Source organism: Homo sapiens, chromosome 10 (genome assembly GCF_000001405.40).
Source record: "Homo sapiens chromosome 10, GRCh38.p14 Primary Assembly".
NCBI lineage: Eukaryota > Metazoa > Chordata > Mammalia > Primates > Hominidae > Homo > Homo sapiens.
In genome coordinates this window covers 49,363,302-49,389,270 of record NC_000010.11, presented here as the reverse complement: position 1 = coordinate 49,389,270, position 25,969 = coordinate 49,363,302, and the positions used below count along the sequence as shown (strand labels likewise).

Sequence of the window (25,969 nt, the reverse complement as noted above, 5' to 3'; positions counted from 1 at the left end):
GGCTGAAGAGAGATAATGGAATTCTGAGCAGTAAATTGGGGGTTGTAAACAAATTATTTCCCCTATAATCAGATTATGTGATCCTGATTATTAAATCTGAACATGAATCATTGGTCATATGCGGGCAAATTAAACTGATTATTATTTGGAAATGAAAATCTCCTTTGGCCAGGATACCGTCTATCCTTTCTTTTTTTAATGCCAGCTTGCCAATAGCTGCCTAAAGACTGAACTGCAAATTGAGATAAATGACACAATTATTGAGCATTCAGAAGTGGAAGATCATAACTTCTCCCTGAAAGGTGCAAGGGTAAGATAGGGGTGGTGACAATTAAAGCCGGGAATTGTTGTTCAGGCTGTTGTTGGCTATTATGCAGACAGACAATGGCTGTGAAGCGCTTGTTTAGTGAGCCTCCATGTGGGGACGTGGGCTTTGGTGGTGGGAAGGGAGATGTGTTTACATTTATACCCCTTGCTCATTCAAATATGATTAATGTTCTATAAAGCAGGGTCTTAATCGAAGCTGATGTTGTCAAACAATAACTAAATAGGGAAATAAACGACTCCATCATGCTCTTTCCTCAGAAGCAGGCGAACTGTCAGTGCAAAGTCATTAAAATATGATAATGAAAAATAGCTCAATTAAATGTTGTTATAGCTGTGACCTTCATTCAATTAAGACGCAAGAAAGTGTCTGCATTTTGCTTTGCATTTAACTGCCCTAAATTTAGAATATAGATAAAATCATTATTCAATGGTTGCTGATATGTGCAATTAAAAGCCAAGTAGATTAGAAAAGAAAGAAAGAAACCCAGTTAAAGGAGAATGAAAGTTAAGAGATAGGGTGGGCCAGCCCAGCAGAGGGCTCAGCCTCAAGGACCCAGGCTCTCTCTGGGGCCAGTGTGCCAGCAGCCAGGGGAGGAGAGGATGCCCTGGGGAATTGAAGGGAGGTCTTGCCAAGCATTTCTTTTTTCTTTGTAGTCAGGAATTATCTCCCAGGAGAGGAGGGAAGAGGTTTTGCTGGAAGGAGTAAACAGCAGCAGGATTTCACTGACCTCTGGAAACTCCTTGAATCTGGGCTGCCCAGCTTCCATGAGGCCATCCTACAGAATACAATTTTGGTTTCTAAGGCTTAAAGAACCCTGCACCTACCTCTAAGAAGGTGCTCAGGTCAAGGTGAATTACCAGCTTTTTTGTAACCTGAGGGTGACGGAGATGACATGAGTACGTGTTTACTGAGTGATGGATGGCTATGCATCAGGCCCTGTGCTCGGTGTTTTGCAGACATGCCAATCTTCCTAACAAGGCTTATGGGGTGGCCACAGTTATTACCCCCAAACAGTTTGAATCACAGTTCCCAGCCAAGCCATTGGGCTTCAAACTGTGGATCTGCCATTTACCACCTGGATAGCCTTAGGCAAGTTAATTAACCTCACTGCACTTAATTTTCTCATCTGAAAAATGGGGATAACAGGACTACTTACCTCATAGGGATGCAGTGGATTCTAAACCAGATTTACTGAGGTCCCAAATTCTAGGCCATGGCTAGATCCAGAGTCAGTGTTTCTTTTCTTTCTGTCTTTTCTTTCTGTCTTTTTTTTTTTTTTTGTGATGGAGTCTCACTGTGTCACCCAGGCTGGAGTGCAGTGGCATGATCTCGGCTCACTGCGACCTCTACCTCCCGGGTTCAAGTGATTATCTTGCCTCAGCCTCCTGAATAGCTGGGATTACAGGCATGTACCACCACACCCGTCTAACTTTTTGTATTTTTACAAAAAGAGATGGGGTTTCATCATGTTGGCCAGGCTGGTCTCAAACTCCCAACCTCAAGTGATCCGCCCACCTTGGCATCCGAAAGTCCTGGGACTGCATGCCTGAGCCACCACGCCTGACCCAGAGTCAATGTTTCTAATGGGTGCACTGGGCTGCTGATCACGAATATGTCATGATGTGTATCCAGATGATATCATAGATATGAGGCCAGACCAGACACACCCAGGTACCCAGGCCACAGCTGTCAGAAGAGCTAGTGAGTCTGTGATGAGGAAGCCCCGGGTCAGGTTTCTTAAGCTGCTTTGCTGGTGATCCTCCACCTCCAGTAGGAAATACATTTCACAACAAATAAATGAACTTGCGTGTGACTCAACGTTAAGGATTTCCACAAGACAGTGCTTTTACCCTTACTATGGGCATTCGGATACTTTCCATTATTTAACATTCATTAAAAAATGCCTGTCCTAACCTTTTAAGCGGATCTTCTGACCCCTCTGTGGGCCTGACGCTGCAGTTCAGAGGGCATGGTGTGGAGAGGAGGCTGCAGGGTGAGCTGTGAGTGCCAGCACTGGGTCCAGGGTTCTGGCTTCTTCCTCCTGTTTGATTTTCACTGGGTGTATGTTTCCATCTGGGATTCAGGTTTGGTTCCAGAACAGAAGGGCCAAATGGAGGAAGACAGAGAGAGGGGCCTCAGACCAGGAGCCAGGAGCCAAGGAGCCCATGGCAGAGGTGACACCTCCTCCAGTGAGAAACATCAACTCCCCGCCCCCTGGGGACCAAGCCCGGAGTAAGAAGGAGGCGCTGGAGGCCCAGCAGAGGTGAGGCTGTGGGTCTCTGGGCCCGGTGGGCCATGGGCAGCACTGCAGACACAGGGCGAGACCTCAATATGATCTCCTTCCTTTGCCAGCCTGGGGCGAACGGTAGGTCCTGCAGGGCCTTTCTTCCCCTCCTGCTTGCCGGGGACTCTCCTGAACACGGCCACCTACGCCCAGGCCTTGTCCCATGTGGCTTCCCTCAAAGGTGAGTTTGGGTTCGGCTGGGCTGGTGGGCGTGGCCTCATGGGGTTGGTGGAGTTTGTGTGACCGGCCTGGGTCTTGGCTCGGCCGTCCTTGCACCTGGGCCTGTGCAGCTTCCTCGCCTCCTGTCAGTCACAGCCAGGGCCACTGGTGCTGTCCAGTGCTATCTTGATTGCTTCCTACATGCGTCCTGAGCATAGAGAGAATGTCCTAAGCATCATTCCACCCACAGAGGGCTGGTCCTAGAGCAGGCTGCCCCACAGTGACCTTCCATGTTCACAGCTTTCTCCTGCTCCCTGGTAACAGTGTTAGGTGCCAACCTGCAGCTCACGGGTGGGGCCTGTGTGGGACAATCATCCCTGCTCCCAGCTCCCTCTCCATGCATGCGACTGGGCCACTTGCCTTCCCCAGGTCTCCTGATGCCAGAGGTCTGAGCCGTTAGGATTTGTGGTTTTCCAGTATGTGCTCTCTTCTCGGTGGCTGTTGTTTCATCTGAAGGATAGAAATCGTTAGGGGCATTTTGTCAGACTCAGAGAGAGGAGCCTCTGTGGATTGGCCCTTGGGATTTCTGAGCAGACTCACTGGAATGGGCTTATCCAGTGTTTCTCAGATTCTGGCCCCAAACCTATTCCTTCAGTGATCAGGCTGCACAGCTGTGTTGGCCAGGAACAGAGCTGGGCCCCAGCGTGCGTCTGGGGGAGTGAGTGTTAGGGGGCTCGTTTGTCACAGGGGGTCTGGGAGGTGGAGGCATAGGTGCAGGCTGTAGGCTTTTTTTTCTGATAATAGGAAGTAGGAGACACACCCTTAGGGTGTCCCCTGCATGTTCTGCTAACGCCTGAGGTCTCCCTGCTCTCGAGGAGGGTCCCTCTCCAGCAGGTGGGACACACACATACACACACACACACACAGTGTGGCAATCTGTGTTGCAAAGGTGGTTTCTGGAGACAGAAGGAGAATATGATGGAGTCTCCCTAGACAGTGTCCAGGAAGAAGGAGGGAAGGGATTCTGGGTGTAGGGAACAGCATATGCAAAGAGTTCCAGGGGCGAGGAGGGTGCCCATGGGAGAGTGCCCAGAGATAGGGTGAGGGTGCCCAGCAGGGGCCAGAGCTTGATGGCCCTGGATGCCAGGATCCTGAGTCTGGACTTTCCACTGCAAGAGGTGGAGCCCTTTTAGCCTGGGGCTGCTTCTGAGTGGTCCAGGCAGCTGGGTGCATCCCCTGGCTCAGTCGGCTGATGTGGACAAGGCCTAGCTCAGTACCTTCTCCTGGTACTTCCTTCAGCTCCAGGGTCCAGGTGCTCTGGGGGCCACATAGAAGCCCCCCACTCCCCAACCCCATAGAGCAACATTGGGACATATTTACAAGACACAGTGGGCTGCTCAGGGGCTACAGTTGTGCAGGCAGCCAATTAGAAGGGGGATCCAGAAGATTACCAGTGGGATGTGGGCATCATCCAAGGGGCTGGCGCTTGGCAAAGGAGCAATCAATCCTATGTCTACCCAGCCCTGTCTGCTTCGACAAGGGCCAGGTCAGCTCCTGAGAGTCATCTTCTCTTTTACAAATGAGGGTCGCTCGCCCTACTCTGGCCTCATGAATAGGAAGTGATTCCCACGGCGTCTCTGATAGGCTGAGCTGAGGCCCCGTTGGACGCCAGCAGTGGCTGAAGGGGGCTTGAGGACTAGACTGCAGCCAGGAGGGTGGGGAGACCGAGGGCAGTGTGTGAGAGGGAGACAGAACTGGGCTTGTGGCTCCCACACCCTGGGGGTGCTCCCAGCTCAGCACCAACCCAGGACAGAGGCTGGTGCGGACAGGAGGGGGTGGTGCTGAACTGGACCAACTGGCCTGAGTGAACGTGGCCACAAACATCTGTCCATCCTCTTCCTCTCCCCTCCACCCCTTCCCTAAGCCCTTCTGGCTGGGCTGTGACCTGCCACCCCGCCCCGGAGCCTGCCCCATGCCTGCCTTGCTGGAGATGGACTTTTCTCTGTTGCTGCCTTTCTTGTCGGATCTTGGGAGGTGCAGGGCCCTGTGGAGGTGGCAGGAACCACAGTGTGCTCATCAAACTTGGATGTGTCTTTGTGCACTGTAGGGGCCCTTCAGGGGCAGCCAGCACACCCCTGTGAGATCCCCTTCCTGACTAGTCAGGGGCATGGCGGGCCCTTGAGGTCGGCGACATACCGTGTTTCCAGAGCCAGGCAGGTGGGCACAAAGTGAGCGTGTGCAGGTGTTGTCTTTTTTCCCCCAGTTACAAATGAGCTCTTGCTCCCTTTTCTTGAAACAGGAGGCCCTCTGGGTCTGTTTATCATTTTCCCACTTCTGAGAGAGGCCTGGGTAAAAGGCACATGTTGCTACCACCAGAAGCAGCTAAGCAAGGAGCCATGCTGGGGGCACCCTCAGATTCGGGTTGGGCAGAGGCAGGCTGGGGCACCTTTGCCCACTCAAAGGGCAGCCGTTGCTCAGCCAGCTGATTGTGGCTGCGTGGGAACGTGGATGCTGTGTTGCCAGAATTGCTGCATTTTCCAGAGTAGCTGGAGATTTGTATTTATATTTGAAGTATTCCTGTCTTAGTTGGTTCAGGCTGCTATAACACAGTGCCCTATGCTGGGTGGCTTAGACACAGAAGTTTATGTCTCACAGTGCTGGAGGCAGGAAGTCTGCGATCAGGACGCCAGCAGGGTTGGGTTCTAGTGAGGGCTCTCTTCTGGGGCTGCAGGCTGCTGACTGCTCCTTGTGGAAAGAGAGCAAGCTCCTCTCAGGACTCTTCTTAAGAGGGCACGAGTCCCATTCACGAGAGCTCCGCCCTCATGGCCGATGTCCTACCAAAGGCCCTGCCTCTGAACGCCATCACAAGATTTCAATCTATGAATTTTGGGAGGGACACACAAGCATTCTGTCCGTAACAATTTCCATCTTTTAAATGTTGCCTCCAAGTCTTTGGGCCAAATTGGCAGGTCCTTGGTTGGACCTGCCATGGCCCTGCTGTTTTGTGACAGGCTGTAAGGGGGTGTCCCATTTCTGCTTTCTGAGTTCTCTCTGCATACCTACCTCCTGCCCCCAGCAAAGCTCTCCTCCCTGGGCTCATCCTGACACCTTCCCCTTCCATGGCCCACTCCTGCCTGGCCTTTCTGAGCAGTGGCTTTTAAATCTCCAACAAGCTAAGTCATGTTGGAAAGGGAGGCAAGTGAGCGATTATGGAAAGTTATCCTGTGCTCTACCAGGCAACCTGCCATTCAATTCTCACGGTAGTGTGGTCAGTATTATAGCAAGAGGGGGTCTGTAGTTGTACAACCAGTGGGTGAAGCTGGGATTGCTTATGTGAGTCGTGGCACCTCTGCATTCTAAAAGTGCCTGGCTCCATTGTGGGACACTTCTGGAAGTGAGGTCTTCTGAGCTGCCAGTCCCTGGGGCTGCCTTGGAGTCAGCAGGTCAGCCCTGCCTTGCCCTTGGAGGTGTGTGGGGATCTCTGCTCCAGGACCCTGGGTGGGGGTGGGAGGTGTGTGCTTGCGGCATAGTCAGCTTCGAACACCGCCAAGGTTCAATTCTCCCCGGGGTCCCTCTCCAGCAGGTGGGACACACACACACACAGTGTGGCAGTCTGTGTTTCAAAGGTGGTTTCTGGAGACAGAAGGAGAATATGATAGAGTCTCCCTAGACAGTGTCCAGGAAGAAGGAGGGAAGGGATTCTGGGTGTAGGGAATGGCATAGGCAAAGCATTCCAGGGGCGAGGAGGAGAACCAGACCCCTCTGGAGAATGGCTGGTGTGTTGGGTGCCTATGGGAGAGTGCCCAGAGGTAGGGTGAGGGTGGAACATGTGTTACGTGGCTTGGAGCCAGCACAGCTTTCTGACTCTTGCAGCCCAGTCTTCTCCTTCTCTTAGGTTTCCCCAGGCTGTAGAAATTAAGCACACAGCCCAATCTAGGCCTGGGCAAGGAATGACCTCAATTTTTTAGGTCCTAGCTCAGTTTGAGGAGCTCTGGGCTATGACATAGCCTCCCTCATCTTCCTGCATCCCCAGAGGTAGCTGGGCACAGCTGTTGGCTGAACTAGTTCTCCTTTTCTCAGGCCTGAACCCTGCTTCCTAGGGGCTGCTAGCCAACTCGGGGACTAGCACAGCATGCATGCTGGTGCTAGAAGGCACCTGACTGAGCTCTTTTTATAAATGAGAAACCGAGGCTTGGGGAGGGGAAGTCGCTTGCTCACACATCACTGATTCTGGTGGGTCTCCCCCTTGGGATGGAGGCTGCTGTCCTCAGGTTCCTGATGTGTCCTTCCCTCCCTGCCTGGCACTACCAGACACCACTTTTTCATTAATTCCTCTGGATGAGCATGGCTGGTTGGGGGACAATGAGAGGCCTTGGACATCCCTCCTTGCTGCTCCCCAGCAAGTAGTGACAGTCATAAATCTACTGGGGGAGGGGCTGGACTTGCCAAGGACCACAGAGACCAGAACCAATGTGGGCTGAGCCCTGGGGCCCCTTCTAGTCCAGACATCCCAACCACTTCTCCAAGCCCGTGGCAGCTTGCAATTCACCCAGAAGAAATGAATCAGAGTTGTTTTCAGCTCCCAGACCCAAATCAGTGCTAGTCTCCTTCCCCAGGCTTTGTGGTCTTACTGGGATCTTACAGCCTTGGACCAAAGATAGCAAACATCTCTGGGTAGGCCACGGAGGTTCGGGCCCAGCCCTAGATACCCCCTGGGTGCTGCTCCCCTGTGACTGAGGATCCAAGCCAAGGCTGTTCTGTGCTGCACCAGCCCCCAGCTAGAATGTGAGGCCGATGCAGGGTTCCCAATGCCCCAGGGCAAGACCTGTTCTCCCAGTGAGCAACTGGGGCACCGCCGAGAGCATTATGTGTGGTTACACATCAGAGGACTCTGAGCTGGGGGTCCTGGTCTTTTGGTTCTGGGCATGGTTGTCATGGATGTGAAGTCCTTGTCTTGCACATATTGAGAGAGCCTCCACATATTGAGAGAGCTGGGGATGCTAGCACAGCAGGGTTGGTGCTGGGGCCTGTGGGGCAGCACGTGCATGAGAAAGATGTGGCTGCCAAGGTCAGCAGGGCTGCTCGGGCCAGAGGGAGCCGGGCAAGGGTTGGAGGTTTGTGGGAGATGGCAGCCGTTTTTGGGAAGGAGATCCTGGCCACTCCAATGAGGCTGGCCAGGTGGAGTGTCCACAGGTGCAGGTGTGGCAGACCAGTCTGCAGGGTTACCAGGTGGGCGCCTGGATGGCCCTCGGGCTGCCCCCATCAGGCCGTGAGGCAACTGGCTGCCTCGAGTCAGGAAGCTGCCCACCAGGGACAGAGCTAGGCAATCAGAAACCAGGCTCTTGCGGGGATTTTCTCCTTTAATTCTGAAGCAGCTGACTAGCACAGTGGCTTCCAGCAAGGGCCTGCTGGTGTGAACCGTAGTTCTTCTATTCTGTAGCCATGCACATCTTGAGTAAATCACTGAAACGCTCTGTACTTCTGCTCACTCATCTGCAGAATGGGGATCTTGATCATAATAGCACTGAATTCATAAGACTGAATGAGGAGAACACAAGCTAGAGCATTTGAGGCCCTCAGGACAGTGGGTAGCATGTGGGAAGCGACACTATCACTAACCATCATTGAACACCAACTATTGTTGACCAGAGTCCTCCATTCTCATGCCCAGCTGCAGTCCCTAGACCCCATTCACTTTTAAAGGACCCAATGAAGTACCTTCTCCAAAACCTCTCCCATTTCTCTGAACTTTATTGCTACTGAAATTTACCTTTTCCTTGTAATCCTTGTTGCTCCAATTTTTGACCATGAGATATCCTTTGTAGGATTTCCTGGTTGGGGCTCCCTGGGGCTTCAAGCAGTGATGTGCTTTTGTCCTCTGGGATGGCCAGGCAGGCTTGCTGGGCTCACTGTGGGCATGTTTTATTTTATGGAAACTCTCAAATAAGAAGAGAGCAGGAACCCTACTCCTGTGCAGGGAGGACTAACATGACAATAATGGGTGTCCAGAGAAAAATCTGTCCCAATACAAAGAATTTTCTTAGGCTGTCTTAATGGCCAGGATTTCATTCACAATTCATTAATGCAGAGGAGGTTATTAATGGCCAGGGAGGCGCTTGGGTTTGTTCCGGAGAAGTGCTGGCCACAGGCAGGGCAGGAATGGCTGGGGCTGGAGAGCCACAGTCAGCGGAGGAGGTGCTCTCCTCGGTGCATTAGCTGGTCTGCCTCTAACCTGTGATTCACAGAGCTGGGTGTGAGGTGGGACATAATTACAGCTGCCAGGGTAGAGCTTTCATAACTCACTGCACGCTCATGCTGCAGGAGTCACAGCCACCCCCCTGCACTGGGCAGGACAGCCTGCCAAGTGGCGGCACCATAGCTGACCTTCCCAGGTGGGAGGGGTAAGCCTTCTGGGCAAGGTGGACATGATGGGGACCCTCAACCCCAGCGTGGTTCCCTAGAGTCAGAGCCCGAGGCCAGAGAACAGTGGCAGGACAATGGAGTAAGATCTGACTCCTTGCCTTCCTCCTCATCCCCTCTGGAGAGGTGACATGGTTCCAGCCAGTTGCAGGTAAGGCCCAGGCTGGGAGGAGTGTGGGGACAGATAGGCTGGAGTCTGGCCCCATCTTCCCCGCAGAGGCCTTGGACGCTGTCAGGACTGAAGGAGCTGCTGTAGGTCAAGTGCCCCGCGTGGTGCAGGCATGCAATGGCACTCACTAGACATGAGCAATTGAGCCACAGTCCTGGTCCTGCACCGAGTGTCTGAAGATGAGGGGAAGGATGTTCAGGGGAAGGGAGTGCTAGCAGAGGTCTGGCCATGGCCTTCCTAAGGGCAAGGCCCCTGCATTAGTCAAGGATGTTTTGCTTTGCTTTGGTCTTTGCCCTTGGACTTCCAGGCCAGGCTGAAGTGTCCAGCTTCTGAGGGCTGTATTGGCCATAGCGTTTGTCCACAAAGGCTGACCTCAGAGTCAGAAGTGACCTCTTCCTCCTCTGAGGCCCCCCAAAACCATCTTTCCCCTCTTCTTCTTTAACGATGTTTTCCTTTTTAAAAAAATTGTGATGTTTTAAAAAATTTAAAAAACAATTTTTATAATGGTTTTATTGTAAAATAGAATATTCATTAGAAAAATGCACGAAGCTTGCACCTAGGACTTTATTAATGGTTTCAAGCATCCAAATGGCCTTGCTTGCACTCCACACTCCTAACTCCATGTGCCTCGTTTTACTCACGTCACTTTTCTTCCCAGCAAAAGACACCGCTCTGCTGACTTTTATGATGATATAACTTTACCACTGAAGTAGGCATTCTGAAACACTGTACCAGTTAGTTTCCCTTATCCACAGTGGTTGGACCAGAAGTGTTTCTGATTTTGCATTTTTTTTGGATTTCAGAATATTTGCATTTTACTTAGTGGTTGAGCATCCCAAATCTGAAAATCCTAAATCTGAAACACTCCAATGAGCATTTTATTTGTGTGTCATGTTAGCATGCAAAAGTTCTAGATTTACAGCATTTCAAATTTTGGACTTGGGAGGCTCAATCTATAGTCTTGACTTTTTTGAACTTCACATATACATATATGTACTATATATATAGTAGATATACAGCATATATATACACACATGCATATACACACACACATATACATGGAGTCTTACAGTATGTATTTTTTTGTGTCTGAGTTCTTCGGCTCAGCACTATGTTTACAAGATTTGTTGCAATTAGGTTTAGTCATAGATTCTTTATGATATTGTAGGTACACAAGCATGTCTATAAAGACAGTTTGTCTATTCTTTTCCAAGCTTATACTTTTCAATTTCTTTTTCTTGCTGGACTGTGCTGGCTAGAACCTCTAGTACAGTATTGAACAGAAGTGGTGAAAACAGGCATCTGGCCTTATTCTAATGTTTTTAAAGCTTTATTGAGATATAATTTGCATTCTATACAATTCATCCATTAAAGTGTACAATTCAGTAATTTTAGTGTATTCACCATTTGAGTGTTCACCATCACTACAATAAATTTTAGAACATTTTCACCACTCTGTACTCATTATCAGTCACTGGCACTTTCTCCATTTTGCACAGCCCAGAGCAACCCTGACTCTGCCCTCTGTCTCTGCAGACTGTGGACATCTCATGTGAATGGAATCGTGCAATATGTGGTGTGTGTGACCTGCTGTTGCTTTATTGATCTCATGAGGAAGCTCTTAGGGTTTCACAGTTGTGTTTGCTGCCTTTTTTTTTAAAGATACCCTTTATCAATTAAATATATTTTCTTCATCCTAGTTTTCTAAGAATTTTATCTTATCATTTTTAAAAATTACTAATATTAATGAATATTGAATTTCATCACTTCTTCTGTAACTGTTGAGCTGACTGCATGATTTTTTTTCTTTCTCAATATACTAGTAGGATGAATTATATTGATTCTTTTTTTAAATGTTAAAACAACTGCACATTCCTGGAATAGACCCAAATTAGATGTGACATGCTATTCTTTTTACATATTACTGAATTTGGTTTGCTAATGTTTTCTTTAGGGAGTTTGAAGCTATGATCATGAGGAGATGGGCCTGTGGTTTTTTTCTTATAATCTCCATTCCAGGTTTTGGTATGGTTTTATTTAACTGTGGTTGCCCCAAAAGTTAGTATTATAAAATAGCAACTGTTGTGTTATCTCTCATCATTCTGAGGGCTGGCTGGGCTCAACTGGGCAGTTCTTCTGCTGCTTTTCCTTAGGCTCTTTCGTGAGGTTGCAGTCAGATGGCAGCTGTGCCTGGTATATACAAGATGGCATTACTTAGGTCTCTGGTGCTTTTACAGAGATGCTGGGAGGCTGGAACCTCTCCCTCTTTCTCCACATGGTCTCTCCTATGGTTAGCTTGGGGTAGGGTTGAATGGTGGTTGGATACCAAGAGTATAAAAGCAGAGGATGCCAGGCCTTCTTAAGGGTCACACCCAGAATGGGTACAGTGTCACTGCTGCTGCATCCTATTGATTAAAGCCAATCGCCGGGCCAGCCCAGACTCAGGCAGAGGGGACTGCACGTGGGTGTGAGTCCTGGGAGGTGTGGTCCATTGAAGACTGACTGCAGACACTAACTGCCACAGGTATCAAGGTTATGCTGGCCCCTGCCATGAGTTGGGGTGTTTGTTGTTGACCACCCGTACTTCCAGTTGGGACTATTTATACTTTAAGGGCACTATTCACATCCAACATGCCTCTGGATCCTTCCACCTACCTCTGCCCCAGCACAGAGTCTGGTGCAGAGTAAAATGTAATGCAGTTTGGGAAAAGAAGGAAAGAATCTTGTGTTGCTCTGGGCCTGGGAGAAGGTCCTCTCTTAGGAGATTCCAAAGATATTGACCCTGGCTTTGCACTGCTGGCCACCTGCAGGACTCCAGAGACCTCGAGGCTCTCCTGTTCTTCATTCAGCACCCACTGAGCAGCTACACTTTGCCAGACTCTGAACCACAGGTTGAGCATCTAGCAATGAATTAGACTCATCCCTACGTGAAGGATCTGGAGGGCTAGGGGGTGGGCTTGGAGAGACAGACAGGTCCACCAAGAATCCTAGTTCAGGTGACAGTCATGGACTCTCATAGAAGCAAACAATGGCATACAAAGTATGGGGAAGCCCAGAGGAGGGAGGAAGTTTCTCCACAGGAAGAAGTCTTTCCAGAGAAGATGCTTGAGCTGTGCAGTGAGTGAGGGTCCCCCAGGCAGAGAGAAACATGAACACCGGGAAGGAGCCTGGCAATGCTGCGTCCTTCTTGACACTGGGTCACCTTGGGGTGGATTTCAGGCTCCTCACCTGTGAAACAAAGACTGTAACAGCCATACCTAATGGTGCCCATGCATCTGGCACATCCAAATCCACCTAAGTTCTCGTAATTGTTGTTAGAGTCATGATGTTGAGCCAAAAAGTCACTTGGGATCTGATTAGGGCTTGGGTTTGGATCGCTGAGGCAGAGGTTTCTGCTTCCTGCAAGCATTTACTCTCCCATGGGAGAGTCTCCCAGTACCCAGTGCATGGTGACTGGGGTTCATGGTGTGTGGACAGCACATAGGGCTCCAGGAAAGCAACACAGTCTCCCAGGGCTCCTGGCTTGTTACTGAGGATACAGGTATTTGGGGAGCAGAGGACTCAAGGGGACAGAAGTGGTCGTTCCTCATGGGGAAAGTGGCTGGGTCAGCCCTGGCTCCTCCATGCCTAGCTGATGTCAGGAAGACAGGTGGAGAATCCTGGCACTTAAGATTTGTAGGAGATCTCTTTGTTGAGCATGTTACCACGGCTTCTGCAGAATATAGTGGGGGAACCTGAGGCCTGGAGAAGAGATAGAACTGTCCAAGGTCACATAGCATGAATGTCAGAGGCACAACAATTCAGGGACCTGGGTGTGCAACCTTCCAGCCCCCTACACCCTGTATTGATTCTGCTCCTTTGACAGGCACCTTCTGTCATCTTCTGGCTTGAAAACCTGCAACTCACTCTGCAGAAGCCATTTCCTATGGGTGCTGATGGGTTTGCCCTTCCTGCTAATCAATGGGGCCCTGGAGTGCACAGAGCTGAGCAGAAGGGTCTGGCTGGTGCCAGAGGCAGCAGGAGAAGCAGCCTGCCCATGCCGAGCTCTGGCTGCTGCTGGAAGGAGGGAGGGTTGTGTGAATTGGCATCTGACTGCCAGGAACATGCGTCCCTGTGACTGCTCTGGCTGTGTCCTTGGATCTGGGGGCAACTGTCATTACTTGTTTGACCCTGCAGAGACATCCAAGCAGAAAAAGAACATGTGCACTGGCCCTGAGACTGTGTCACAGCACAAGGCTCTGGTTGGAATGGTCGGCTGAGTTGGCCCCCATCAATGAGTGTTTGCTGAGTGAATAAGTAATTGTCGAAACAGAGGCCTTACATGTAATAGGTGAAATTAAGGGACGGGTGGGATTTAGAGCTGATTCCACCAAAACCCCTTCCAAATTAACTCAGGGATTTTGACATTAATCAGATTGGTTAACTTCGTTAAGAATACAGTTTTTCTTTCCATGGGGTATTGAGGAAGCTTAGAACCTGGGAGATGGCAACTTTGAAGAACTAAAATGTGCCAACTCGGTCAAGAAAGATAGATTCTCTCTCCTTTTCTCCCTTCACCAAATATTCACTGAGTGTTTACTTTGTACCAAAATGGGACAGTTTTGTTCTGCAATCAGGGCTGTGAGATTGGATCTGGGAGGCACATACATCAAGCTTGGGAGGTGAGGTGTGTACAAAAACAAACACGGCTCATGGTGAAAAGACAAGAAATAAACCATAAAACAAGAGGAGGAGAAAGTACTTCAGGAGTTCCTTTAGTAGAAGACAGTGTGTCCAGGAGTGAATTTGGCCTTGTTTTTTGTTTGATTATTGGTGACTGCACTTAAACACAGCAGCTAAAAGTATGCTTAAATATTGTAGGCATCTACCAATATTCCCACTTAAACTCTCCTTGTGAACTATAAGGAACTGGTGTGATGACTCACAAAATGTTTATTAGTTTATTTATTTTACTACAAAGTGGAAATAAGTGAACTATGCTGTTTGCGTTAGACGTCTCATAAATCCATGTATTCATTTTCTGTTCAACTCTTGTTACCCTAACCTGAACGTTCAACAGGAAAACCGTGTGTGAGAGCTCTCCTTGTCACTGGCATTGGAGTCTACATACCTTAATGATGAAAATGTGCTATTGGCAGAGACGAGACAGAGCTAACTTAATTTTTCCTGTCAGTCTTGGTAGTAGATCAATTAAACTGCCAAGGAGATCAAATATTTCAGACTGTATTTATTACATTAAGTATTTATATTCAGACCAAGCCTTTAAAGCATGATGTCATATAGGAATGGAGGCCGATTAGATCAATTCAGCAGAATTTGATGGAACTTAATGGAAATCAAATTGTGTGTTTTAATTTAGTGTCCAGGAGGTAGTAGCATGTTCTCAGGCTGAATTTAAGGACCAGAGGGCTCTTACAAAGACTTTTGTGATGGCACAAGCCTGCCAGGGGGAGGAAGGGAGTCATGGCCTTTTAGGGGCTTCATGGGGTGGGAGCAGGCAGGAAGGGACTCACTGACTTTGGTCCACACAAATGGGAGGGGAGATGAATAGAAGGTTGCTGGTGAATCTCATGGCGCACCCTCAGCCCCATGTTTGCTGTCAATACCCTGAGTGCAGGCGGAGGCCATTAGTCATCTTGGAGTCTTCACTGGGTGATGAAGACACGGTCTTTATCCCTTTGCAACCTGTGTGGGACTCTGTGCTGGAGAACATCTGTCACCATCGTCTGAATGAGAGAAGACAGGAAATCACAAACCCCAAGGAGATTACCCTTTCTATGAGAGTAATACCTGGTCAGTTTAGAAAGAGCAAAACATACAATAAAACACAAATAAAAAAAATTCATAGCCTCAACACCCAGAACCAGCCACTGTGAATATTTTGGTATTGGAACATTTTAAAATGTCATTTATGAATATATATCCCTAATAAACATATGTTTAATAACTTTTAAATTAAGAAGTTTAAATTAAGATTTTAAATTTATACATTTTTCTATTTCTAAGTAAATTTATATTTATATACATACACCTATGAAGCTAGATTTATGTGGTCTATGGCTGTACATATATATATGTACACTACATGCATATATGTGTTTTAGTATATGTGGATATGGATCATCTTAGTCCATTTGGGCTGCTATAACTAAATACCGTAAACCCGGGGACTTATAAACAATGGAAATTTATTTCTCACAGTTCTGGAGGCTGGGAAGTCTAAGATCAAGGTGCTGGAAGACTCAGTGTCTTGTGAGGGCACTGGATTCATAGATGGTATCTTGTTGCTGTGTCCTTGTATAGTGGAAGAGGAAGAGACAGGGCAACCCTCTGGGGTCTCTTACGTAAGGACATTAGTCCCTGAGAGATCTGTGCTCATGACTTAATCATCTTCCAAAAGCCCCACCTCCCAATGCTGTCACCTTGGGGTTTAGGATTTCAACATATGAATTTTGGGGTGGGGGGACATCACCATTCAGTCTATCGCATGTGTATGTTTTATACACACGCATATATATTCCAAAATGTATTCATGTTGACTTACTGATGACTTATTGTTTATTTACTGCTCTTTTACCTATTTTTTAAATGTCTTATTTCATTAGTATCTTTTTCATGGTACTAAATATCCTCCTTTAATATAATTTGTCGTAGTTGTAGTGTGTTCTATATGGGTATAACTTATTCAGCCAGTTCCCTATTACTGGGCCATGGGTTGATTCATGATTTTTTGCTGCTATATGTGCACAAGGATGACTTCCTTAGTAGCTAATTTAATTTTTAGCCCATTCATTATAGCTTAAAATTTTTTTATTTAAATTTTTTATCTTTAAAAAATATTATTTGCTTATCTTCTCTTTATTGTTCCAATTTTAGTGCATGTGCTGCTGAAGTGAGCACATGATAGCTTTTTGATAAATTAAAGAAAAACAAAAACAAAAACAATACTCTGCTACTCCCTTCTAGAGTCCCATGTCTAGAAATCAAGTAATTAGGAGGGGGTTTTGAAAGTTTGTTTGGCTTACTCTTCAAAATTCTCTTGGCAGTATAAATTACTTTTTGGCCAGATGGGAAGATTTCACTGAGGAAAAAATACAGCTGTGAAAAAGTGTACGGCTTGTGCCAATGGCAGGGTAGGCACACAGTGCTGGTGAGAGCAGTCACTGCATGTACCATATGTGCATGTATGTAGTGTTACGTGTGTGTGCATGAGTACTGTTGCAGGTCTCGTGTCCATCATGGTGTCCTCTGGGGAATACTCGGGACAACTTGGGTTCTTCAGCTGGTCATGGAATTGAACCAGAAATTGGAATAAGCTGTGAATTGTGACTTAGAATTGTCCTTTAATTTGTATGGAATTGTGGAAATAATTGTTTGAGGATTAAGTACCAGGTGCTTTATAGGATTTATCCCCAAAGTAGGTGTGTTAAGGCGAAGAAGCTGAAGCTTGAGTGGATGAAGGCGGGTCCCGTGTCTGGTTAACAGTGGGGTCAGGGGCCAGACTTCTTCTACCACCTTCTTCTGACCACCTTCTTCTTTTGATCACCTTCTTCTGCTCTACACAGCTGCATTGGCTTTTCTGGCCCCAGAGATGTCCTATTGTCACTCGTTTATAGGATTTCCATAATGATGACTTGGTTTTAGGGTAGACCTTTTCTAAGTGTGTTTGTCACCTTATGACATAATAAAGAGTCAGTGCCTAGCTCCTCTCACGGCCAACTCAGTGGCCCCATGACTAATAGTCACAGGCTTGGTGCAGTTTTCAAAGCCCTGTCAAACACCATGTCTTGTGACCCACAGTCGCCACTGTGATGGCTTTGGGCCATCCTGGGATTCTGCTCTGCTTGCCTCTGTGCAAATGGCTCCAGGTTATTATGCATTTTGAGTGTTTTTGGCTGTTTCAGAAAATTTTGTCTCTTTTCTCAGCATTAACCATCAATGTGTCTGCCACTAGCAGTCACATTTCTTTCTAGTTTGTGGCAGTCTTGGAAATCAGACAACTTATGTTAGAAATGCACTTTGCACATAGGAGAATCTTCAAGCATTTGGTGAGGGTCCTAGTAGCTGGGACTACAACTGTGTGCCACCATACCTGGCTTTTTTTTTTTTTTTTTTTTTTGAGATGGAGTCTCACTCTGTTGTCCAGGCTGGAGTGCAGTGGCATGATCTCAGTTCACTGCAACCTCCACCTCCCGGGTTCAAGCGATTCTCCTACCTTAGCCTCCGGAGTACCTGGGATTACAGGAGCACACCATCATGCCTGGCTAATTTTTGTATTTTTAGTACAGATGGGGTTTCACCATGTTGACCAGGCTGGTCTTGAACTCCTGACCTCAGGTGATCCCCCTGCCTTGGCCTCCCAAAGTGCTGGGATTACAGGTGCCTGCCACCACACCTGGCTAATTTTTTTTGTATATTTTGTAGAGACAGGGTTTTGCCATGTTGCCAAGGCTGGTCTCAAAACTCCTGGGCTCAAGCGATCCACCCACCTCAGCCTCCCAAAGTGCTGGGAATACAGGTGCGAGCCACTGTGCCTGGCCTCTACTTGAGCACACGTTTCATGGCCAAAGTGCATGAGCTTTGGGTCTGGATTTTTACTCAGTAGCTATTTACTAATGAGTCACCCTGGGAACCCCAGAGGATGAAGCTCCATCATGTTATTTCAAGTTCTCAGCAGTGTTCAGGGTCCATGAAGTTGTTTGTGCAGGCGGCATATTGATACTGTCAGATCACTGAGAAATCAAGAGTCAGTTTTTTAAGAATCCTGCTTGTGGAAATAATTTTTTTCCTTTGCAAAAAATGGCTATAGAATTCAAGGGAGATGCTGGTTGTTGGACAATTTAAGTTAACATGTGTATGTGCCGAGATCACTGTAGTTCCTATCCCCCCACTGCTTTTCTCTTTAGGGTGATGACAGAGGTGTCTGTGGATGGGAGACATAAGGCAGGGTGTGACCATCACACAAGAGAGAAGGACTTTACCCTCCCTTTTTCTGCAGGTTCTGCCTCTGTTAAGGCAACCTACAACCCTGTGGGATGGCAGTGAAGTTACTGTGAAGTCGTATTGACCACATGATTGATTGCTGAGCCATGTCTCCTTTGTGTAGTTGGATCCTTGGATGCAGATTATTGACTTTATACTTTTCCTTGTTAACCATCTCACTAGATTTGTCCCCTGTTTGCTTTTAATCTTGTCTCTTACACAGATGGCCTCTCTCAGTCTTTTCCATACCTCTGTCTTGGATCCACATATCTTCCCAGTTCTCATTCAGGTCTGGGCAGGTCCAGGGGAAGCCCCTTTGGCAGCCTCTGAGGACCTCCCTTCAGATGGCCAGGGCTCATTTGCCACATTCCTAGGTGTGGCTGTTACCGTGTTTGTGCGTCCACCTGCAGGCATCCGCCCCCTTTGATGGACACTTTTGCTGCAGTCCAGGCTTGGGGTGCAGATGAGGAAAGGGAGCGACGGCACCTGTTGGGCTGTGTGCCCAAGGCTCTTTTTATTTTTTTGAGAAGGAGTATCACTCTTTCACCCAGACTGGAGTGCAGTGGCACGATCTTGGCTCACTGCAACCTCCACTTCCCAGGTTCAAGCAATTCTCCTGTCTCAGCCTCTGGAGTAGCTGGGACTACAGGTGCAAGCCACCACACCTGGCTAATTTTTGTATTTTTAGTAGAGACGGGATTTCACCATATTGGTCAGGCTGGTCTCGAACTCCAGACCTCAGGTGATCCACTCGTCTAGGCCTCCCAAAGTGCTGGTTTTACAGGTGTGAGCCACTGTGCCAGGCCCCAAGACTCTTGTTGCTCAGTGCACACCTATCAGGGTCAGCTGCCTGCTGAGGAATTCCACCCCCACCTGCCCCTCTCACCAATAGTCAAGAGCTGGAGGGACGTGTGAAAACCCTGCGAAGCTTCCTTAGGCAAAGGCCCGGTGAGTGCGGTGGGTTGAGAGTGCCAGCCCCATGGACGTGGGACTGGGTGTGGCTGGGTGAGTGTTTGGCAGCTCAAGGGGCTTTGAAGATTGTTGCTCACTGCAGGAGCCATAAAAACAGGCCAGGCTGCCCTGTGTGCACTTCATCTTCCTGGATCACTTTGCCCTCAACTCCCCTCTGGCCAGCACACTTAAAAAAAAAAAAATCTTATTTTCTTTTTGATTATGGTAAAACATGCGTAACATAAAATTTACCATCTTAACCATTTTTAAGTGTATGAGTCAGTCGTATTAAGCACCTTCCTGCTGTTGTGCAGCCAATCTCCTGAACTCTTCATCTTGCAAAACCGAAGCTCTGACCGGCGAACAATTCCCACTTCCCCTCCCCGGCCCCAGGTCCGTGTCATTCTACTTCTGTCTCTGGGAATTTGAGTACTCTGGGGACCTCACAGAAGAGGACTCCTGCAGGATTTGTTCTTTTAGTGACTGGCTTATTTCACTTAGCATACTGTCTTCATAATGACCCCTGTTGGAGCGAGTGTCAGAATTCCCTTCCTTTTAAGTCTGAGTCATATTCCATGGTATGTACAGTCCTTACGGTTTTTAACCACAGGGTCCTTGGCTTCACTTGGTCCTCAGTTTCCCATCAATCCAGTGCTGTGTGAGTATGTGTGTAGGGGGTGAGCCAGGCACATGTAGACTCTTTACCCTGCTGCAGCCCTGGTTCTGTGAGTTAATTTATTCCTCTTAACTTCCAAGTTTGGGTTTTGAGGGCCAGGAGTATAGTTATGGGTAGCTTTCTTGGGGTCTGCTGCAGGTGTGACCTAGCAGCTGTAGGCTATGGCTCCAGGGCAAGGAGGCTCTGTCACTTCTACGTCTGGCACATGGCTAGATTTGCCACTGAGTTACAGAGCATTGAACTCACCATTGATGCTTACATTGGAGCAAGCTCTTGACTGGGTTAATACCAGCCTGAGATGGATTGAGCCCATCTTTCTCATCTGGCCTGACCCAGGGCCAGCTACCCAGGGCTAAGCCTAAGGACAGTGGCCTCTTCCAGGTCCCTGAGAGCCTATAGCCCCAACCAGTCTCTGCTCTCAGGTGTGCCTGTCTTTAGCCTTCCTTCTTTTTAACATTCATTTAAAATTAACATTATGTTTCTAAGTTTAAAAGACATTCATTTTCATTGTAGAAAAACAAGAAAAATTCTAAATAGATATAGAGAGGAAAACACAAATCTACAGCATACCCTCTCCAAGGGGGACCACCATTCTTAATAACTTGGTGTCTTCACACATTAGGTGCTCCTCACCAGTGAGTGCGTTTGGGCAGGAAGACTTGGAGGAAGATAAGGCCCCATGGGGGTGGGTTCTAACCATCAGGAAGGACTGAGGCTCATAGCAGGCATTGTTCCCAGCAAAAGCTGTCATCTCCCATGAGAGTCTCTCAGTGACTGGTGTCAGGGTGTGGCTATGCCTGTGTAAGAGCCCCTAGGAGAAGTGGAGCAGCCAGGCCTCGGGGTTTGACCAAAAGCATGACAGGCTGGAGGCCAGCGGGCCTGCAGGGCAGTGGGGCTGGTCTCAGAGCTCCCTTGCACACTGTGCGTGTGTGCTGCCTCACACTCATCTTGGTATCTGCTGCCTACGGGATCAGTCCCTCAGTCAAACTTGAGGTAGGAGGTGAAGCTGCATTTAAACCTCCCATTACAATACAGGAGAGGGAAAGGCCACCAGGAGGTTCTGGTCCCATCTCTACAATAAACTGTGCAAATCTGGAGCCTCAGTTTTCTTACCTGGAGAGGGGGATGAACCACGCCTACATTATGGGTGGCCGTAATGTGATGAGAGGAGCAGCGGGTGGTAAAGGTGAGGTTCCCTTTGTCTCTCAGCAGGCTTGGCAAGGAAGAGGAGGATACATGAATATGCTTGAGGGGAGCAGAAGGTACCCTGGCTTTGGCATTAGGAAGGCTGTCTTGGGAAGGGAGGTGGGGAAGTCCCAGCTGCTGGAAAAGCTGGTGTAGCTCCGGCTGCCCCTGAGGTTGATCTCTACAAGTGGGTGCCAGGCCAGGGTGGCCTTCCAGGCTCCAGTGAGCACAGACATTTGTCTCACGATTACTGCCCCTTGGTGGCTTGAGGAAGGACTCCAGAGCATGCTCAGAAAGGCAGAACAGCAGCTCAAAGCTCACTTGCAGCCTGAGGACATGTCCAGGACTGCAGGGGAGCTGGGACACAAGTGTGCTGACCTTGGTGCTGACCTTGCTGCAGCCCTCAGCCTCGGCTGGGACCACTTCAGAAATTCCCTCTTCGTATTTTCCATTATCAGCAGCCAAGAGGCAACACGTGGGTGAGAAGGATTGACCTGGGCTTGGACCTACACTAAGCACTTTCCAAATTGGTTCCCTCTGAGGTTCTCAGACCTCAGTTCATGACACCTGTGGGCCATAAGCAATATCTAACAGTTAACAGTTCTGTTCATTCAATGGTTAGGTCCAAGCAGCTCACTAAGTATGTCCTGACAACTTAGTAGCCATTTGAAAAATAATACTTATAAATTGAAAGAAAAATAATGTTTTTCTTTTCTTTTCTTTTTCTTTTTCTTTTTAATGTTATTATTTTTTAGAGACAGGGACTTGCTCTGTTGCCCAGGCTGGAGTGCAGTGATGCAATCATGGCTCACTGTACCCTTGAACTCCTGGGCTCAAGTGATCTTCCTGCCTCAGCCTTCCAAGTAGGTAGGACTATCGGCACATACCATGATGCCTGGTTAATTTATTTTTTATTTTTATTTTGTAGCGATAGGGTCTCACTATGTTGCCCATGCTGGTCTTGAACTCTTGTGCTCAGTCGATCCTCCTACCTCAGACTCCCAAACTGTTGGGATTGTAGGTGTGAGCCACTGTACCTGACTGCTTTCATTTTTAAATAGCCACTATTCCTTTCTAAGGGGCTTATGTGCCTTATAAGCTTTGTACAGCTTCTCTAATCTTGGAATCCTATTAGACTCCACCACACACATTTTATATTCCAATGTGGAATTTTGTGTGGTGCTTGCAAAATCCAGCTTCACAAAGCAATAAAATTCTTGACAGGAATGCAGCAGGATCTCGTGGTTAGGCTGGGAACTGCCTGCAGCCAGCAGCTTGCCCGGCACCTGACATGTGTGGCTGGGTTTCCTTCCATTTAAGGTATCCCCGCAGTGCCCCAGTGAGTTCTTAGGGGTGCCTTGACACAGTTTGGGAGTGTGGAATGACTTAATGGGAACCTCCTTATAATCCTGCAATGTAGGTATTACCCCATTTTACAGAAGTAGAAACTGAGGCTCAGAGAAGCCAAGATATTGGCCTAAGGCCACACAGCTGCTTGGCAAGGGAGCCAGGACTCGCCAGGTGTCCCTGATGCTCTGACAATCCTTTGAACGATTAACTAGGTCCCTTATTTGTGTGTCTTTGAGGTTCTGAGCACTTGTCCTTCTCCCTTTAGTATCTGGCACCAGAGGGAATCAATCTTTCTGTCCTTCAGAACTCAGATCGTTTCCTGTCACCCAGCCCTGAGAGGCAGAAAGTAGACAGTGATGGGAGCCTGTTGTTTTTCCTTTTCCAGGGGGCCCACTGTGCTCTTGCTGCGTCCCAGACCCCATGGGACTCTCCTTCCTTCCCACCTATGGCTGCCAGAGTAACCGCACGGCCAGCGTGGCCACCCTGCGCATGAAGGCCCGCGAGCACTCAGAAGCTGTCCTGCAGTCAGCCAACCTCCTGCCTTCCACCAGCAGCAGCCCCGGCCCTGTCGCCAAGCCGGCGCCCCCAGATGGCAGCCAGGAAAAGACCTCTCCCACCAAGGAACAGAGCGAGGCAGAGAAGAGTGTATGAGGGTCCACAGTGCCCCGCCCGGCCTGCCCTCCCCCGCCCCTCCTTCTCCCAGCCTCAGCCCCTACAGAAAACTCTCCAAATAGCAAGGAGAAGCCTGCGGCCCCAGGGCCTCTGCATGGACCCAGGACGGGCAAGTGAGACCCACAGCTCCCTTGGCACCTGGAGCGTCCCTCTGGAGTCCCACCAGTGCGGCAGTGTTGTCCTGGCTTCTTTGGCAACAGATCCCGATGGCACTTGGTGGCAGCAGAGCCCTCTCTGTGAGGAGCCTCCCTGGGATTTCCATCCAGGCCCAGAGTCTCGGAGGGAGGTAGATTCCTCATCCGTCTCCCTTCCTATTTCCTCCCTGGGCTGCCTTTGAAGGTCTTGTCAACCCCAGGAACTGTGGCATGGGCTGAAGTTTCATGAAAAGAAAAGGGCCTGTCCCGCTTACAGTGTTTAAGAACTGGGGAACTGGTGGAACCCCAAGCGACTCTTGCTCCCCTGGACCAAGATGAGCAGTAATGCCCTTTCTCTTGTTGGAGAATATTGGTTGTGGGCTTCATTACAAAGTGAGAAGATGCAGGGTAGGGAGGGGCCAACAGGACACAGCCTGTCCCAGAGGACCACGGTGGCTCTGACCCAGGAGATCTCACTGGCACATCTGGCCGGGGGGCTGGGCTAATCACCCAGGCCACCTGCTCCATGAACTGGGGGCTGCTGTCTTGACACTGTGGGTGTGGAACTAGTGTGGCCCCTGTACCTGAAGCACTCACCTGCAAGCCCTTCCTCTCTCCCAGATAGACCTGTGGATTGGTGGGAAGTTAAGCAACTGAAAAGCAGCTCTCTGGTCCAGGAGGGCCTGAGGGCCCTTGGAGAGGGAAGAAGCCCTTCAGGAATGCCTCTGAAGTAATTATGCATACAGATGAACTACCTTTCCCCACATGCCTGGCACGTAGAGGGGGCTCTTCAGTGGTGGTGGTTTTTTACTGGGGAAAAAAAAGTAGGAAAGGAGACAGGAACGGCGTATGTGCAGATATGGAGCATGGGGAAGACAGCTTTCTCATGGTGTGGAGAGCATTAATTCCAAAGGGCCAAATTTCACAGAGATTTCTGTTTTGGTCTAGTGTGGCTGTTTTCTCTGGTGAGGATGGTGACCTAGAGGAGATCCAAGGGGAACGTGCAATAGCATAAGCTCTGCCGCTTTCTGGCAGGGGCGCCCGGCATGGGAAAGGTTGCAGTCTTTGGTGGCTTTTGCTGATGGTGTTTCCATGCGGATGGTTATTGCCTTCATGATGGTTATTTTGGTTTCAGTTATTATCGTCAAAATGTTTTACTTTCACATTTCCTGTCCCCTTTTTACCTTCCCCCACTCCATGACCCCCAAATAATACTCCTGAGTGTATCATGCCTTGTCTATGATCACTACGAAGCATTTGATAAAACCCACTGTCTCCTTTAAAGAAAAAAATCAAATCCTTCTTCCTGCTGTATTTTGCTTGTTGAGTATAAAGATGAAACGATTTGCCAAAAAGCGGCAAAGTTGCTTCCGTTTCCCTGTAATTACGAATGTTTGGTTGAAGGATGTAAGCTCAAGCCCTTATGTACACTAACTCTTCAATCTAATTGTTTGATTAAACTCGTATTTCCTCCAGAAAGGTACATAAATAAGTGAACTGTTGAGCAAATTAAGAATACTTAACAGCATTGCATCTGAAAAGTAGTTATGCTGATTAAATTTTGTGTCCTTGAGGACTTTCAGGAAATTACTTTTGATCGTCAATAACACAATTAAGTAAACTACACACACATTAGCATGAATAATTGATAAGAAATTATGTATTACCACGAAGCACTGATTTAATAATTCATGATGCGACACTCTAGTGACTGTGCAAAACTGGATCATATCGAAAAGTCTGCCTGATGTTACTGAAAGGAAAGAAAATGAGCACCAAACCTCTGCAGAGATATTGAGTACTTTGTTTTGTTGTACAAAGGCAAAAAGTAATGATGCATGATGTAGTTTCTGTTTGTTTAAATACCCAAATAAATTTAGAGGAGTTAAAACAAAGACCGAAAAAGCTCAGGTCCTCTCTTTGTTCCTCCCAGCCCTGAGGCTGCAGGGCTGGGTGGAGTCTGCGCTCTTCAATTTTCCACTTTGGCCAAGGTGCAAATAGAAACCTGGAAACTTCCAGGAGGAGGACATTGAGGCCTTGGCTCAGGAACCTTTTAGTGGATGCTGGGACAAGACAGGGGCCCCTGTGCAGATCAGAGCCCTCCCCAAGGCATTGACAAGCACTGCATTGCAGGGTCATTCTCGCTGGAGCCCCTGTAGGTTGCCCTGTCTGCAGAAGTTCATCACACGACTGTAAAAGGCAGCTGGGCTTCAGTGTGGGAAGGAGGCTCGGGCCCCAGGGATTGATTGATTAATTAATTAATTATTATTATTCATTTATTAGTCGAGGCAAATGAAGTCCATTCCTGAATGCCCTCCAGGTTATGGGAAAGGAGTCTAGAAACCACTGAAGTTGTGACTGTGACTGGGGCAGCAGCCCGGCCTTGTTGGGCATGACAGCCTGCCCGGAGGAGAAGCAACTGTGGCATGGCATGGAGTCAGGGCGGGCAGCCCTGGCATAGGACCTGGGGGACTTGGGGGCTCCTCCTCCATTCCTCAGTGGGTGCCCAGTGTCTGATCTCTCAGTTGGGTAGAAAGAACTTCCTTTGACTCTGCCACTGTCTCATTTCCTGGGAACTTTACACAGGTTAACACATTTAATCCCAATGATAAACCCACAATGTAAGTCCTACTATTCCCATTTAACAGTTAAGGAAACT

General features: G+C 48.5%; 1 protein-coding gene across 2 annotated transcripts in view, besides 1 other annotated feature; it reads left to right on the top strand.

The window, feature by feature from the left end:
- The window catches only part of DRGX (dorsal root ganglia homeobox), a 32,024-nt gene extending 6,819 nt beyond the window's left edge, over positions 1 to 25,205 (top strand). Inside the window, exons 4-7 of one of the 2 annotated variants that reach the window (XM_011540089.4) lie at positions 206 to 310; positions 2,413 to 2,591; positions 2,681 to 2,793; positions 22,890 to 25,205. In XM_011540089.4, coding sequence (XP_011538391.1) covers positions 206 to 310; positions 2,413 to 2,591; positions 2,681 to 2,793; positions 22,890 to 23,155 — 663 coding nt within the window. In that variant the 3' untranslated portion in view covers positions 23,156 to 25,205. The remainder of the gene's footprint in view (positions 1 to 205; positions 311 to 2,412; positions 2,592 to 2,680; positions 2,794 to 22,889) is intronic. The other variant, NM_001276451.2, reaches the window with a different exon arrangement.
- Positions 9,225 to 9,725: an enhancer, noted in NCBI's record as "H3K4me1 hESC enhancer chr10:50587592-50588092 (GRCh37/hg19 assembly coordinates)". NCBI's record gives its function as "activates a minimal SCP1, AML or CMV promoter by ChIP-STARR-seq in primed H9 embryonic stem cells {active_cell/tissue: H9 hESC(primed)}" and the evidence as "EXISTENCE:reporter gene assay evidence [ECO:0000049][PMID:30033119]".
- Positions 25,206 to 25,969: the final 764 nt, after the last annotated feature.